The 16,592-nt window shown below is 41.5% G+C and overlaps 1 long non-coding RNA gene across 5 annotated transcripts in view; it reads left to right on the top strand.

Annotated features, from left to right (window-relative positions):
- The window catches only part of LOC107984006 (uncharacterized), a 52,131-nt gene that overhangs the window by 3,297 nt on the left and 32,242 nt on the right, over positions 1 to 16,592 (top strand). For 2 of the 5 annotated variants that reach the window (XR_929655.3, XR_929656.4), the window contains exon 3: positions 57 to 6,702. This is a non-coding gene — a long non-coding RNA (uncharacterized LOC107984006). Of the gene's footprint in view, positions 1 to 56; positions 6,703 to 16,592 lie in introns of those variants that run through there. The other 3 variants (XR_007061501.1, XR_007061503.1, XR_007061502.1) reach the window with 2 other exon arrangements.

Genomic DNA, 16,592 nt, shown 5'->3' on the forward strand with positions numbered 1-16,592 from the left:
TGGCCGGCATGACAACTTGAGGCTCTAACGCTTCCACTCCTCACAACTTCCTCTAGGCTTTTCTGGCTTTGCCCGCCCAGCTGCTCCATGCCAGGAGGAGGAGGAGACACCTAGAGCCTGCAACACCACGGCTCACCTCGCTGCGGGTGGGTGGCAGTGACGGAGACTGCAGTGCACCATAGCGGTAGGAGAGTGGCCACGCTAGGAGGGCGGGCGGCTGCAGGCAGGGTTGGGAGTCAGGCTTACAGCGATGGACAGGCTGCAGCAGTGGCCAGGTGGTAGGAGCCTTGTAGGGAGGGGTGGTGCATTGGCAATGGGCCTGGCTTTGCCCTGTGCCTGCCGTGGATCTGGCCCTGTACTGCCCTGCCTTGCCCTGTACCTGCCCTACTGTTACCTGGACTCTCAGCCCTGTCCTGCTCTGGTCCCATCCTGACCCTGTCTTGGCCCCGTGCTACCCTGTCCCTGCCCTGGTCTTGCCCTGGCACTGGCCCTGCCCTGAACGTGCACTGGCCTGACCTTGGTTCTGGCCCTGGCTCTGGCCCTGCCCCTTGTCCTGACCCTGGTCCTGTCATGGCACTGGCCCTGCCAGTGGTCATGGTCCTGCTCCTGTTCTGGCCCTGACCTGGCCTTGGAAATGTCCTGGCTCTGCTTTGGCCCATCCCTGCCCTGGCCCCACCATGGGCCTTCCTGTTCTGCCCTCTCCTGGCACTGACCTGGCCCTGTCATGGCCCAGTGGTGCCATTGCCCTGCCTTACCCTGCGCTGGTTGTGCCTTGGCCCCGCTTGGTGCTGGCCGCTTCCTGGACCTGCCCTGGACCTGCCCTGACCCTGCCTTGGCTTTTGCCCTGCCCTCACTATGGCCTGGCCCTGGCCCTAGCCCTGGTCCTGCCATATCCCTGACCCTGCCCTTATCCAGGCCCTGCCCCTGCTGCTGCCCTGGCCCTGGCCTGGAACCTGGTCCTGTCAAGGACCTGCCCTGACTCTGCCATGGCCCTGGCCCTGCTCTGCCTTGTTCCTGGCCCTGACCCAGACCCAGACCCTTTCCTGGCTCTGCACTGGCCTTTCCCTGGCCCTGAGCTGGCAGTGGTCTGCCCCTGGTCTTGCCATCACCCTGCCCTGCTGTGCTCTGGATGTGTCATCACCCTGCCCTGGCTCTACTCTGCCTTTGACCCTGCCCTGGCCTTGCCTTGGCCCTCACCCTAGTCTTCGCTAGGCCCAGCACAGACCTGGCTCTGACCCTGGCCCTGGTCTTTGTCCTGCCATAGCTTTGGCCCTGAAGTGGACTTGGAGGTGTCCTGGCCCCGGTGTAACATGGCTCTGCATTGGCCTGTCTCTGCCCTGCCCCTACCATCGCCTTGCCCTGCTCTGCCCTGTCCCAGTACTGACCCGGCCACGCTATTTCCCCGCCCTACCCTGCCTTGGCTGTGCCCTGGCTCGGTTCTGGCCCTGGCCCCGGCCCTGCCCTGGACATGCTCTGACACTGCCTCAGCCTTGGCACTAGCCTGGCTCATTCTTGGCATCAGCCCTGCTCTCTCTGTGGACCGGCTCTTGTCCTGTCCTGCACTGGCCATACCATGCCCTGCCCTGCCCTGCCCTGACTCAGCCCTGACTCAGCCTTGGCCTTGGCATTGCCCCTGGTCCTGCCATATTTCTTGCCCTGTCCCTACCCTAGCCTTGGCCCTGACCCTTACCTTGCTCTGGCCCTGCCCTTGCCCTAATGCAGCCCCTGGCCCTGTCATGACCCTGCCCTGGACCTGTCCTGGCCCTGGCCCTTCCCTGCTTGAGACCTTGCCCTGGTTCTCCCATGGCCCTGACCCTGAAATGCCTGGCCCTACCCTGGCCTTGCCCTGCTCTGGCCCTTGCCCTGACTCTGGTCCTGTCACTGACCTAGCCCCAGCCCTGTTGCTGGTCTTACCATGGCCCAGACCCTGCCTTGGCCCTGCCCTGACACTGTCCTGGACCCTGGCTGTGCCAAGAACCTGCACTGTCCTTGCCCTTGTTTTGCTCCTGCCCCGAACCTGGTCCTGCCCAGGCCGTTTCTATGGCCCTGGCCCTGGCCCTGCCCAGGTCTTGGCACTGGCCTGGCCCTGCCCTGCCCTGGCCCTATGCTTTCCTGGCCCTGCCTTGGCCCTAGCCTGGCTTTGACCCTGCCCTGGCCCTACCTTGGCCTTCACCCTAGCCTTACCAGGGCACTGTGTTGGACCTGGCCATAGCACAGACCTGGTTGTGGCCCTGGCCCAGACCCTAGCCCTGCAGGTACCGGTCCTGGCCCAGCTCTGGGCCTGGCTTTGTCCCTAATTCTTAGATGACCCTGGCCCTGCCCCTGCCCTTGCCCTTGCCCTGGCACTGGCCTTGGACATGTCCGTGGTCCTAACCCTGGCCCTGCCCTGGAGCTGCCACTGTCTTGGCCCTGCCCTGGCTCTGGCCCTGCCCCGGCCCTGGCCCTGCCCCGGCCCCAGCCATAGACCTGCCCTGGTTGGTCGTGCCCTACCTTAACCCTGTGCTACCCTGGGCCTGCTCAACCCTGCCCTGGCCCTGCCCTCCCTTTGGCCCTGCCCTGACCCCGTCTTGGCCCTCACACTGGCCCTAGCACAGACCTGGTCCTATCTGTGGCCTTGGCCTGGCATTGACCCCTGCTCCTGACCCTGGTCCTGCCATGGCCCTGGCCCTGCCAATGACCCTGGCAGCCCTTACCCTGGCCCTGAACTGGCCCTGCCCTGACCCTGGCCCTGAAGTGGATTTGCAGGTGTCTTGTCCATGGTTTAACCTGGTCTTACCATGGCCCTGTCCCTCCCCTGGCTCTGTCCTGGTCTTATGCTGACCCTGACCCAGACCTTGGCCCTGCCACAGCCTTGTCCTAGACCTGGCCATGGCCCTGCGTCTGCCCTGGACCGGCGCTGGCACTGGCATGGACCCTGGCCCTGGCCCTTCACTACTTAAGGCCATACCCTGGCCCAGCCCTGGCCCTAATTTGGCCTGGCTCTACCCTGGCATGCTCTTCTGGCCCTAGCCCTGACCCTGTCCCTGTCCCTGTCCTGGTCCTAGCCCCGTTGCTGGTCCTGCCATGGCCCTTGTCCTGACATTGCCCTTTCCTGGTTCTGGCCCTGGCCCTGTCCCAGCCCTGCTCTGGCCCTGGTCTGAACCCTGGCCCTGCAATAGACCTGCCTTAGTCCTGCCCAGACCCTGGCTCTGGCCCTACCTCTGCCCTGGCCATACCCTTGCCCTGGCCTGGACCCCGGTCCTGGTCCTTGTCCTGCCCCAGCCGTGGCCCTGGCCCTGCCCTGCCTGTGCCCTGTTCTATCCTGGGCTGGCCCTGCCATGGCCTGGTCTTGCCATTGCCCTGCCCTAGCTTGCCCTGCTTGTGCCCTAGATCTGCCCCGCTTGTGCCCTAGATCTGCCCCGGCCTTTGCCCCATCTTGGTTCTAGCCTTGACTCAGCCCTGGACCTTCCCTGACCTTGCCTCAGCCCTGGCACTACCCTGGCATTGCCTTGGCATTTGCCCTACTCTCTCTATGGCCTGGCTGTGGTCCTGCCCTGCTCTGCTCTTGTTCTGTCCTGGCACAGCCCTGGCCCTGGCCCTGGCCCTGCCGTATCACTGGCTCTGGTCCTGCCCTTATGCAGACCTGACCCTGCCACTGCCTTGGCTTTGGCCTGGACCTTGGCCATACAGTGACCCTGCCATGACATTTTCCTGGTCCTGGCCTGGAACCTGGCCCTGCCAAGGACTCGCCCTGGCTCTGTCATGGCCCTGGCCCGTTCCTGGATTTGGATGTGTCCTGTCCCTTATTTGCCCCGGCCCTTCCCTGGCTCTGCCATACCCCTTCTCTGGGGTAGGGCCAGGGTCAGGACCAGACCAGGGCAGGGTCAGGACCAGGGTAGGGCCATGTTAAGGCCTGAAGATGGGAAGGGCCAGGGCAGCGGCTGGACCAGGGAATGGTCAGGGCCAGGGATGTAGTAGGACTAGGGGCAGAGCCGGCACTAGGGCTGAGCCAGGGCAGAGCAGGAGAGATTACTTTAGGCTATTACTAAAATTTTTATTTTAGATTTTTAAGATAACTATAGTAGTAGTAATGTCTATACTATGTTGTTTGTAATAGTAATAATACTTGCAGTAATCACTAAATTTTAACTAATACTATCTTTGCTTCCAGTAGTGTTCTATGAGTATAATTTTATCAACATGTAAATATGTGAGGCATTGATTCTTGTAATAATTCTATATGCTAGGTACTTAAAGCATCCCCATTTTCCAAATGTAGGAAACAGGCATAAAGAAGGTAAATACTTGGCCAGATTACTCCTGTAATCCCAGCACTTTGGGAGGCCAAGGCAGGCAGATGGCTTGAGCTCAGGAGTTTGGAACCAGCCTGGGCAACGTTGTGAAACCCCATCTCTACTAAAAATGCACAAAAAGAACTAATTTAAGTTTCTTGTAGGATTCTGGTTATAAAACACTGGTCAAACACACAGGGCATGGATAGGGCAGGGCCAGGGACAAGGTCAGGCCAGGAAGGGGCCAGGGCCAAGGCAGGGCCAGAGCTGGACTTGGAGGTGTCCTGGTCTGATTTGCCCTGCCCCAAAGTTGGCCCAGCCCTGCTCTGGCATGTCCTGTCATGCCCTTTCCCTGGCCTGAGCATTGGCCCTGGCCCTGTCCTGCTTCTGGCCCTGCCCCGGAGTTGACCAGGCACTTCCATGGCCCAGTCCTGCATTGCCCTGCCCTCCTCTGCCCTGGTGCTACCATGGCCCTGCTTGGGCCCTAGCTCTGCCTCGACTCTGGACCTGCCCTGACTCTGCTCAGCCCTGGATCTACCCTGACTCTGCCTTGGTGTTGCCCTCCCATCTCTATGGCCTGGCTCTGGCCATGCCTTGCACAGACCATGCTCTGCCCTGCGTGCCCCAGCCTGGGCCCAGCCCTCATCCTACCATATTCCTGACCCCAGCCATACCCTTGTTCTCGCCATGACCCTGCCATGGCCCTCTCCTGGCCCTTCCTTGATCCTGCCCTGCCCTTCCATGCCCTGGCCTTGCCCTCACCCTGCATTGGCCCTGCACTGGTCCTGCCCTGCCCTGACACTGCCTTGGCCCCGGCCCTGCCTTCTTCCTGGCCTTGCCTTTGCCCTGCCCTGGCCTGACCCCAGGTCTACTGAGTCCATGAAATGGCCCTGGACCTGCCTTGCCATCCTCTGTCCTGGCCCTATATTGTCCCCACCATGCTCTGGTCCAGCGCTTGCCCTAGCCCTGTTGCTAGTCCTGCCACTGCTATGGCCCTGCTCTGTTTTTGGCCGTGCCTTGTGCTACCCTAGCCCTGCCCTGCCTTGGCCTTGGCCCTACCATGGCCTTCTCCTACCCTGGCCTGGCCCTACCCTGGCCTTCTCCTACCCTGGCCTGGCCCTACCCTGGCCTTTTCTACCCTGGCCTTGCCCTTCCCTGGTCTTGCCCTGCCCTGGCCTTGCCCTGCCCTGGCCTTGGCTTTGCCTTATCCTGGTCCTGGTTCTGCCCTGACCCTGGCCTTGCTCTGGATCCTCTCTGGTTCTGCTTTCTCCCTGGCCCTGCCCTTGCTCTGGCCCTGTCCCTGGACCAGCCTTGACCCTGACCCTGACAATCCCCAGGTCTGACACTGGCCATGCTTGGCCCTGGCCCCTCCTTTTGGCCCTGCCTTAGCCCTGTGCTATCTTAGTCCTGCCCTGGCCCTGAACTCACCCTGGTCCTACCCTCACCCTACACTGGCCCTGCCCTATCCTGGCCTTGCCCTGCCCTGGCCCTGCCTTTGGCCTGCTCTGGCTCTGGTTCTGCCCTGGACTTGCCCTTGCCCTGGACCCTCCCTGGCCATGTTTTTCCCATGGTCCTTCTCTGGCCTTGCCCTTGCCCTGTCCCCTTTCTGGTCCTGCCATGTTTCTGGCCCTGCCCTGTCCATGTCCTGGACCTGACTCTGGCCCTGGACCTCCCTGTCCCTGCCCTGCCATACCCTGGCCCGTTCCTTGCTCTACACTGACCCTGCCCTGCCTTGGCCCTGTGCCACCCTAGCCCTGCCCTGGCCTTCTGCTGACCCTGATCCTGCCATGGCCCTGGCCCTGCCATGTCCCTGCCCTGGCCCTGGTTCTTCCCTGCTTCTGGACCTGGCCTTGGTCCTCTCATGTCCCTGGCTGTGACCCTGCCCCTGGTTTTTCTCTGGCCATGACCCTGCCCCAGTTCTGTCCTATCCCTGGCCCTGTCTCAGTTCTGTCCTAGCCCTGGCCTTTCACAGTACTTTATGCTTAGTAAGGGCTCCATGGTGTCTGTGAGTTGAATGTTGTGTTCATAGTATCTGCCAAAACAGAAAGAAAAAAGTAAAATATTTTGATAAGAAGTTAAAGCTTTGTATATAATATGCCTTGAATTGTAAGTGCCTGTTATTAGTTGTATTACATATGGGTCATGGCTTTGTACACGTAACTCCAAACCATTGATACTGTTAAAAGGATATATGAATATATGAAAGAATGTATAAACGTAAGAATGTATCAGTATCTAATGACCTTTCCAAATTAATTTTTATTTTTAGCTCTATTAGATTTTTCTCAGTGTAACAAATGTTTATTCCTATGTAATTAAGGGTGTGTTTCCTGTACAGAATATTCATAATACCTAATTGAAAATTATATGATACAAAAATATAATACTATTTTTAGGCCAAGCATGGTGGCTCATACCTGTAATCCCAACATTTTGAGAGGCCAAGTTTGGAGAATCATTTGAGTCCAGGAGTTGACCAGCCTGGGCAACATAGTGAGACCTTGTCTTTATTAAATAAATAAATAAATAAATAGGTTGGGCACTGTGGCTCATATCTGTCCTCCCAGCATTTTGGGTTGCCAATGCAGGAGGATTGCTTGAGCCCAGGAGTTTGAGACCAGCCTGGGCAGAATAGCAAGACTCCATCTCTGCAAATAATAAAATATTAACCAGGTGTGGTGGTGCGCACCTGGGGTCCCAGCTACCTGGGAGGCTAAGGTGGGAGGTTTGCTTGAGGCTTCAGTGAACTGTGAATGCACCACTGCATTCCAGCCTAGGCCACAGAACAGGACCTTGTTTATAAATAAAGAAATAAGTAAAAATATAAATAAAAAGTAAAAATAACTATAAGTAAATATAAATATAAAAATGCATACATGAAAAGAAACAATTTTTAAATTTAACATCACTGAGGGCATCCTATCCATTTCATTTCATGATTCCATTACATCATTTCACTTAGATGAAATGATGACTTGAGATGAAATGATGAGATGAAATGACGAAATGATGAGATGAGATGATGAGATGAAATTTTGAGATGAAATGGTGAGTAGAAATGATGAGATGAAATGATGAGACGAAATGACAAAATTGAAAAGAAATTGAAAGGAGAGGAGATGAGATAAAATGAGATGAAATGAGATGATGGATGAAATGAGATGAAACGAGATGAAATGAAATAATGAAATGATATGAAATAATGAAATTGTAATGAGATGATATGAGATGAAATAATGAGATAAAATGATGAGATGAGATGAACGATGAGATGAAATGATGAAATGAAATGAGATGAAAAATGATGAGATGAAAAATGAGATGAAATGAAATAATGAAATGAGATGAAATGAAACGAAATAATGAAAGGAAATTATGAAATGTAATGATGAAATTGAAATGAGATGAGTTGAAATGATGAGATGTAATGGTGAAATGAAATGATGAAATGAGATGAGATGAAATGAGATGAAATAATGAGATGAAATGAGATAATGAGATGAGATGAAATCATGAGATGAAATGATGAAATGAAATGAAATGATGGATGAAATTATGAGATGAAAGATGAAATGTAATGAGATGAAATGAAATGACATAATGAAATAATGAAATGAGATGAAATAAAATAATGAAATGAAATAATGAAATGAAAATGAAATGGAAATGATGAGATGAGAAGAAATGATGAGATGAAATGATGAAATGATGAGATGAGATAAAATGAGATGAAATGATGAGATGAGATGAAATATGATGAGATGAAATGACATAATGAATGAAATGATGAAATGGAATAATGAAATGGAAATGATGAGCTGAGATGCAATGAGTTGAAATGAGATGAAATGATGAAATGATGAGATGAAATGATGAGATGAGATGTGATGAAATGATGACATGAAATGATGACATAAAATGAGATGAAATGAGATGTAATGATGGAATGAGATGAGATGAAATGAGATGAAATGATAGATGAGATAAAATGATGATATGAAATGATGAGATGAATGATGAGATGATGAGATGAATGATGAAATGAAATGATGAGATGAGATGATGAAATGAAATGGTGAGATGAAATGATGAGATGAAATGAAATAGTGAAATGAAATTGAAATAAAATCGAAATGAGATGAAATGATGAGATGATGAAATAAAATGATGAAATGATGAGATGTGATGAGATGAAATGATGAGATGAGATGAGATGACATGAAATAATGAAATGAAATTGAAATGAGATAAGATACGAGATGAGATGAAATGATGAGATGAAATGATGAAATGATGAGATAAGATGAAAAGGGTTGAGATGATGAGATGAAATGAGATGAAAAGATGAAATGATGAGATGAAATGAAATGATGAGATGAAATGAGGTGAAATGAAATTAGATGAAATGTAATGAGATGAAATGAAATGACATAATGAAATGAAATAATGAAATGAGATGAAATAAAATAATGAAATGATGAAATAATGAAATGAAAATGAAATGGAAATGATGAGATGAGAAGAAATGATGAGATGAAATGATGAAATGATGAGATGAGATAAAATGAGATGAAATGAGATGAGATGAAATGACATAATGAATGAAATGATGAAATGGAATAATGAAATGGAAATGATGAGCTGAGATGCAATGAGTTGAAATGAGATGAAATGATGAAATGATGAGATGAAATGATGAGATGAGATGTGATGAAATGATGACATGAAATGATGACATAAAATGAGATGAAATGAGATGTAATGATGGAATGAGATGAGATGAAATGAGATGAAATGATAGATGAGATAAAATGATATGAAATGATGAGATGAATGATGAGATGATGAGATGAATGATGAAATGAAATGATGAGATGAGATGATGAAATGAAATGGTGAGATGAAATGATGAGATGAAATGAAATAGTGAAATGAAATTGAAATAAAATCGAAATGAGATGAAATGATGAGATGATGAAATAAAATGATGAAATGAGATGTGATGAGATGAAATGATGACATGAAATGATGAGATGAGATGAGATGACATGAAATAATGAAATGAAATTGAAATGAGATAAGATACGAGATGAGATGAAATGATGAGATGAAATGATGAAATGATGAGATAAGATGAAAAGGGTTGAGATGATGAGATGAAATGAGATGAAAAGATGAAATGATGAGATGAAATGAAATGATGAGATGAAATGAGGTGAAATGAAATTAGATGAAATGTAATGAGATGAAATGAAATGACATAATGAAATGAAATAATGAAATGAGATGAAATAAAATAATGAAATGATGAAATAATGAAATGAAAATGAAATGGAAATGATGAGATGAGAAGAAATGATGAGATGAAATGATGAAATGATGAGATGAGATAAAATGAGATGAAATGATGAGATGAGATGAAATATGATGAGTTGAAATGACATAATGAATGAAATGATGAAATGGAATAATGAAATGGAAATGATGAGCTGAGATGCAATGAGTTGAAATGAGATGAAATGATGAAATGATGAGATGAAATGATGAGATGAGATGTGATGAAATGATGACATGAAATGACATAAAATGAGATGAAATGAGATGTAATGATGGAATGAGATGAGATGAAATGAGATGAAATGATAGATGAGATAAAATGATATGAAATGATGAGATGAATGATGAGATGATGAGATGAATGATGAAATGAAATGATGAGATGAGATGATGAAATGAAATGGTGAGATGAAATGATGAGATGAAATGAAATAGTGAAATGAAATTGAAATAAAATCGAAATGAGAGATGAAATGATGAGATGATGAAATTGATGAAATGATGAGATGTGATGAGATGAAATGATGAGATGAGATGAGATGACATGAAATAATGAAATGAAATTGAAATGAGATAAGATACGAGATGAGATGAAATGATGAGATGAAATGATGAAATGATGAGATAAGATGAAAAGAGTTGATGAGATGATGAGATGAAATGAGATGAAAAGATGAAATGATGAGATGAAATGAAATGATGAGATGAAATGAGGTGAAATGAAATTAGATGAAATGTAATGAGATGAAATGAAATGACATAATGAAATGAAATAATGAAATGAGATGAAATAAAATAATGAAATGATGAAATAATGAAATGAAAATGAAATGGAAATGATGAGATAAGAAATGATGAGATGAAATGATGAAATGAGATGAGATAAAATGAGATGAAATGATGAGATGAGATGAAATATGAGATGAAATGACATAATGAATGAAATGATGAAACGGAATAATGAAATGGAAATGATGAGCTGAGATGCAATGAGTTGAAATGAGATGAAATGATGAAATGATGAGATGAAATGATGAGATGAGATGTGATGAAATGACATGAAATGATGACATAAAATGAGATGAAATGAGATGTAATGATGGAATGAGATGAGATGAAATGAGATGAAATGATAGATGAGATAAAATGATATGAAATGATGAGATGAATGATGAGATGATGAGATGAATGATGAAATGAAATGATGAGATGATGAAATGAAATGGTGAGATGAAATGATGAGATGAAATGAAATAGTGAAATGAAATTGAAATAAAATCGAAATGAGATGAAATGATGAGATGATGAAATAAAATGATGAAATGATGAGATGTGATGAGATGAAATGATGAGATGAGATGAGATGACATGAAATAATGAAATGAAATTGAAATGAGATAAGATACGAGATGAGATGAAATGATGAGATGAAATGATGAAATGATGAGATAAGATGAAAAGGGTTGAGATGATGAGATGAAATGAGATGAAAAGATGAAATGATGAGATGAAATGAAATGATGAGATGAAATGAGGTGAAATGAAATTAGATGAAATGTAATGAGATGAAATGAAATGACATAATGAAATGAAATAATGAAATGAGATGAAATAAAATAATGAAATGATGAAATAATGAAATGAAAATGAAATGGAAATGATGAGATGAGAAGAAATGATGAGATGAAATGATGAAATGATGAGATGAGATAAAATGAGATGAAATGAGATGAGATGAAATATGATGAGATGAAATGACATAATGAATGAAATGATGAAACGGAATAATGAAATGGAAATGATGAGCTGAGATGCAATGAGTTGAAATGAGATGAAATGATGAAATGATGAGATGAAATGATGAGATGAGATGTGATGAAATGATGACATGAAATGATGACATAAAATGAGATGAAATGAGATGTAATGATGGAATGAGATGAGATGAAATGAGATGAAATGATAGATGAGATAAAATGATATGAAATGATGAGATGAATGATGAGATGATGAGATGAATGATGAAATGAAATGATGAGATGAGATGATGAAATGAAATGGTGAGATGAAATGATGAGATGAAATGAAATAGTGAAATGAAATTGAAATAAAATCGAAATGAGATGAAATGATGAGATGATGAAATAAAATGATGAAATGATGAGATGTGATGAGATGAAATGATGACATGAAATGATGAGATGAGATGAGATGACATGAAATAATGAAATGAAATTGAAATGAGATAAGATACGAGATGAGATGAAATGATGAGATGAAATGATGAAATGATGAGATAAGATGAAAAGGGTTGAGATGATGAGATGAAATGAGATGAAAAGATGAAATGATGAGATGAAATGAAATGATGAGATGAAATGAGGTGAAATGAAATTAGATGAAATGTAATGAGATGAAATGAAATGACATAATGAAATGAAATAATGAAATGAGATGAAATAAAATAATGAAATGATGAAATAATGAAATGAAAATGAAATGGAAATGATGAGATGAGAAGAAATGATGAGATGAAATGATGAAATGATGAGATGAGATAAAATGAGATGAAATGATGAGATGAGATGAAATATGATGAGTTGAAATGACATAATGAATGAAATGATGAAATGGAATAATGAAATGGAAATGATGAGCTGAGATGCAATGAGTTGAAATGAGATGAAATGATGAAATGATGAGATGAAATGATGAGATGAGATGTGATGAAATGATGACATGAAATGATGACATAAAATGAGATGAAATGAGATGTAATGATGGAATGAGATGAGATGAAATGAGATGAAATGATAGATGAGATAAAATGATGATATGAAATGATGAGATGAATGATGAGATGATGAGATGAATGATGAAATGAAATGATGAGATGAGATGATGAAATGAAATGGTGAGATGAAATGATGAGATGAAATGAAATAGTGAAATGAAATTGAAATAAAATCGAAATGAGAGATGAAATGATGAGATGATGAAATTGATGAAATGATGAGATGTGATGAGATGAAATGATGAGATGAGATGAGATGACATGAAATAATGAAATGAAATTGAAATGAGATAAGATACGAGATGAGATGAAATGATGAGATGAAATGATGAAATGATGAGATAAGATGAAAAGAGTTGATGAGATGATGAGATGAAATGAGATGAAAAGATGAAATGATGAGATGAAATGAAATGATGAGATGAAATGAGGTGAAATGAAATTAGATGAAATGTAATGAGATGAAATGAAATGACATAATGAAATGAAATAATGAAATGAGATGAAATAAAATAATGAAATGATGAAATAATGAAATGAAAATGAAATGGAAATGATGAGATAAGAAATGATGAGATGAAATGATGAAATGAGATGAGATAAAATGAGATGAAATGATGAGATGAGATGAAATATGAGATGAAATGACATAATGAATGAAATGATGAAACGGAATAATGAAATGGAAATGATGAGCTGAGATGCAATGAGTTGAAATGAGATGAAATGATGAAATGATGAGATGAAATGATGAGATGAGATGTGATGAAATGATGACATGAAATGATGACATAAAATGAGATGAAATGAGATGTAATGATGGAATGAGATGAGATGAAATGAGATGAAATGATAGATGAGATAAAATGATGATATGAAATGATGAGATGAATGATGAGATGATGAGATGAATGATGAAATGAAATGATGAGATGATGAAATGAAATGGTGAGATGAAATGATGAGATGAAATGAAATAGTGAAATGAAATTGAAATAAAATCGAAATGAGATGAGATGAAATGATGAGATGATGAAATAAAATGATGAAATGATGAGGTGATGAGATGAAATGATGAGATGAAATGATGAGATGAGATGAGATGACATGAAATAATGAAACGAAATTGAAATGAGATAAGATACGAGATGAGATGAAATGATGAGATGAAATGAAATGATGAGATAAGATGAAAAGAGTTGATGAGATGATGAGATGAAATGAGATGAAAAGATGAAATGATGAGATGAAATGAAATGATGAGATGAAATGAGGTGAAATGAAATTAGATGAAATGTAATGAGATGAAATGAAATGACAATGAAATGAAAAAATGAAATGAAATAATGAAATGAGGTGAAATTAAATGAGATGATGAAATTAAATGATGAAATAATGAAATGGAAATGATGAGATGAAATGAGATGAATGATGAGATGAAATGATGAGATGCAATGATGAGATGAAATGATGAGATGAGATGTAATGATGAGAGGAAATGAGATGTAATGAAATGAGATGAAATGAATGAGATGAAATGAAATAATGAAATTGAATTGAGATATTAGATGAAATGAGATAAAATGAGATGAAATAAATGATGAGATGAAATGATGAAATGCTGAGGTGAGATGAAACGATGAGATGAAATGAAAGGATGAGATGAAATGATGAGGTGAGATGAGATGAAATGAGATGAAACGAGATGAAATGATGAAATGAGATGAGATGAGAAATGATTTGATGAAATGAGATGAGATAAAGTGATGAGATGAAATGAAATGAAGTGAAATGAAATAATGAAATGAAATTGAAATGAGATGAGATGAAATGAGATAAAATGAGATGAAATGAGAAGAAATGAGATGAAATGATGAAATGAGATGATGAGATGAAAAATGAGATGAATTGAAATGAAATGAAATAATGAAATAATGAAGTGAAATGAAATGATGAATTGATGATATTGAAATGAAATTGAAAGATGAGATGAAATGATGAGATGAAATGAAATGTTGAAATGATGAAGAGATGTGACATGAAATGAGCTGAAATGAGATGAAATGAAATGAGATTAAATGATGAGATGAAAAATGATGAGATGAAAAATGAGATGAAATGATGAGATGAGATGAGATGAATTGAGATGAGATGAGATGAAATAATGAAATTAGGTGAAATAATGAAATGAGATGAAATAACGAAATAAAATTGAAATGAGATGAGAGGAAATGAGATGAAATGTTGAAAAGAAAGGAGGAAATGATGAGGTGAGATGAAATGATGAGATGAAATGAATTGAGATGAAATGAGATGAAAAATGATACGAAAAATGATATAAAAAATATGACATGAGATGAAATGAGATGAAAAATGATACGAAAAATGATATAAAAAATATGACATGAAATGAAATGAGATGATATGAAATGACATAATGAAATAAATGAAATTACATGAAATGAAATGAAATAGTGAAATGAAATGATGAAATAATGAAAATGAAATGGAAATGAGATGAGATGAGATTTGATGAAATGATGAGATGAAATGATGAGATGATATGAAATGATGAGATGAGATAGGATAAGATGAAATGAGATGAAATGATGAGGTGAAGTGATGCACTGTCACGTGTGTGTTTTTCCCAACCAACAAAAATTATAATTCATTAATTTTATTATTTAAGAATATTCTTAAGAGTTGAAGGAAAAATCATATCTGTACATTATGGGTTACAATTAAGTATAAATAATACATAAATATATTAAAACTTACAAAGAATATGTTTCGGAATCGAATATACCATGCTTCTGTGATGACAGTTATTTCATGCTGGTTGTCACAATTTTACATGAAAAACTAATGAAACAATGTTTTTAACTGTTTCTAAAAATAACAGTTTCCAAAACAGTTTTACATTCAAAATATGAAAAAGATGTCTTTGTGTTCCTTAATCTGATGAGATTTTCACACTCTGCACATGATAATTGTTAGATTTTTATTGTGTTGATAAATTGTATATCAAATAAAAAATGTTATTACCTCTTAAATTAGGATTTTTAGGTGATATAGGCAGAAAGGAAGGCAAGTTTTTATAACTTTGTCTAAATGAACTTTCTAAATGCCTGAGTATTAAAAGATAGCATGTCTATAAATGACAATGTATATATTACTGTATGACCTAGGACCAATCAAAACCGTTACCTCTGATAACATTATATTGTGCCCAGTATAAAATAGATATAATAATACCTCAAACTTAAATCCAGGCATTGTCATTGAATATGTTAAGAATATGCAGCAAAGGTGCTTTTAAAAATACAAGCTAGTGATTGTACTAAATTTGTAAATCACATAGGATAGTGGGTCATTTTAAGAATATTATTTCAATCTATAAACGTGGATGTCTTTGCTTTTTTATGTTTTCTTTAATTTCTTTCATTAATATTTGTCATTTTTGTTGTCGAAATCTTTTACTTGGTTAAATTTATTTCTAAGTACATTTTTGTAGCTATTGTAAAAGGAATTGCTTTCTTAATTTCTTGTTTCAGCTAGTTTACTATCAATATATAGAAATGCTACTGATTTTTGTATGTTGATTTATATCCTGCAACTTTATTAATTTCATGTATCACCCTGAGAAGCTTTTGGTAGAGTCTTATTTTTTTCCATGTATAAGATCACATTGTCTTTAAACAAGGACAATTTGACTGTCTCCTTTCCAATTCAGATGTCCTTTATTTCTTTCTCTCACCTAATTGTCCTGGCTAAGACTTTCACTATGTGAAATATGATTGGTGAGAATAGGCATCCTTTTCTTGTTCCAGTAAAATCTTTTTCTTGTTCACAGTAAAATCTTTCACCTTTTCCACACTCAGTATGATCTTAGCTGTAGATTTGTCCTTTATGTCCTTTGTGTTAAGGCATATATTTTCTATACTAAATTGTTGAGAAGTTTTTTGTCATGTAAGAATATTTAATTTTGCCAAACGCTTTTATTGTGTTTATTAATTTAATCATATGGTTTTCAGTATATATCCAAAGGAAAGAAAATCAGTATATCAAAGAGTTACCTGCACCCCCATGTTTATTACAGCACTATTCACAATAGCCAAGATATGGAATCAACAAAAGTGTCCATCAACAGATGAATGGATAAAGAAATGTGACATACATATATAATGGAA

Source organism: Homo sapiens, chromosome 9 (genome assembly GCF_000001405.40).
Source record: "Homo sapiens chromosome 9, GRCh38.p14 Primary Assembly".
In the NCBI taxonomy this organism is placed as follows: Eukaryota; Metazoa; Chordata; class Mammalia; order Primates; family Hominidae; genus Homo; species Homo sapiens.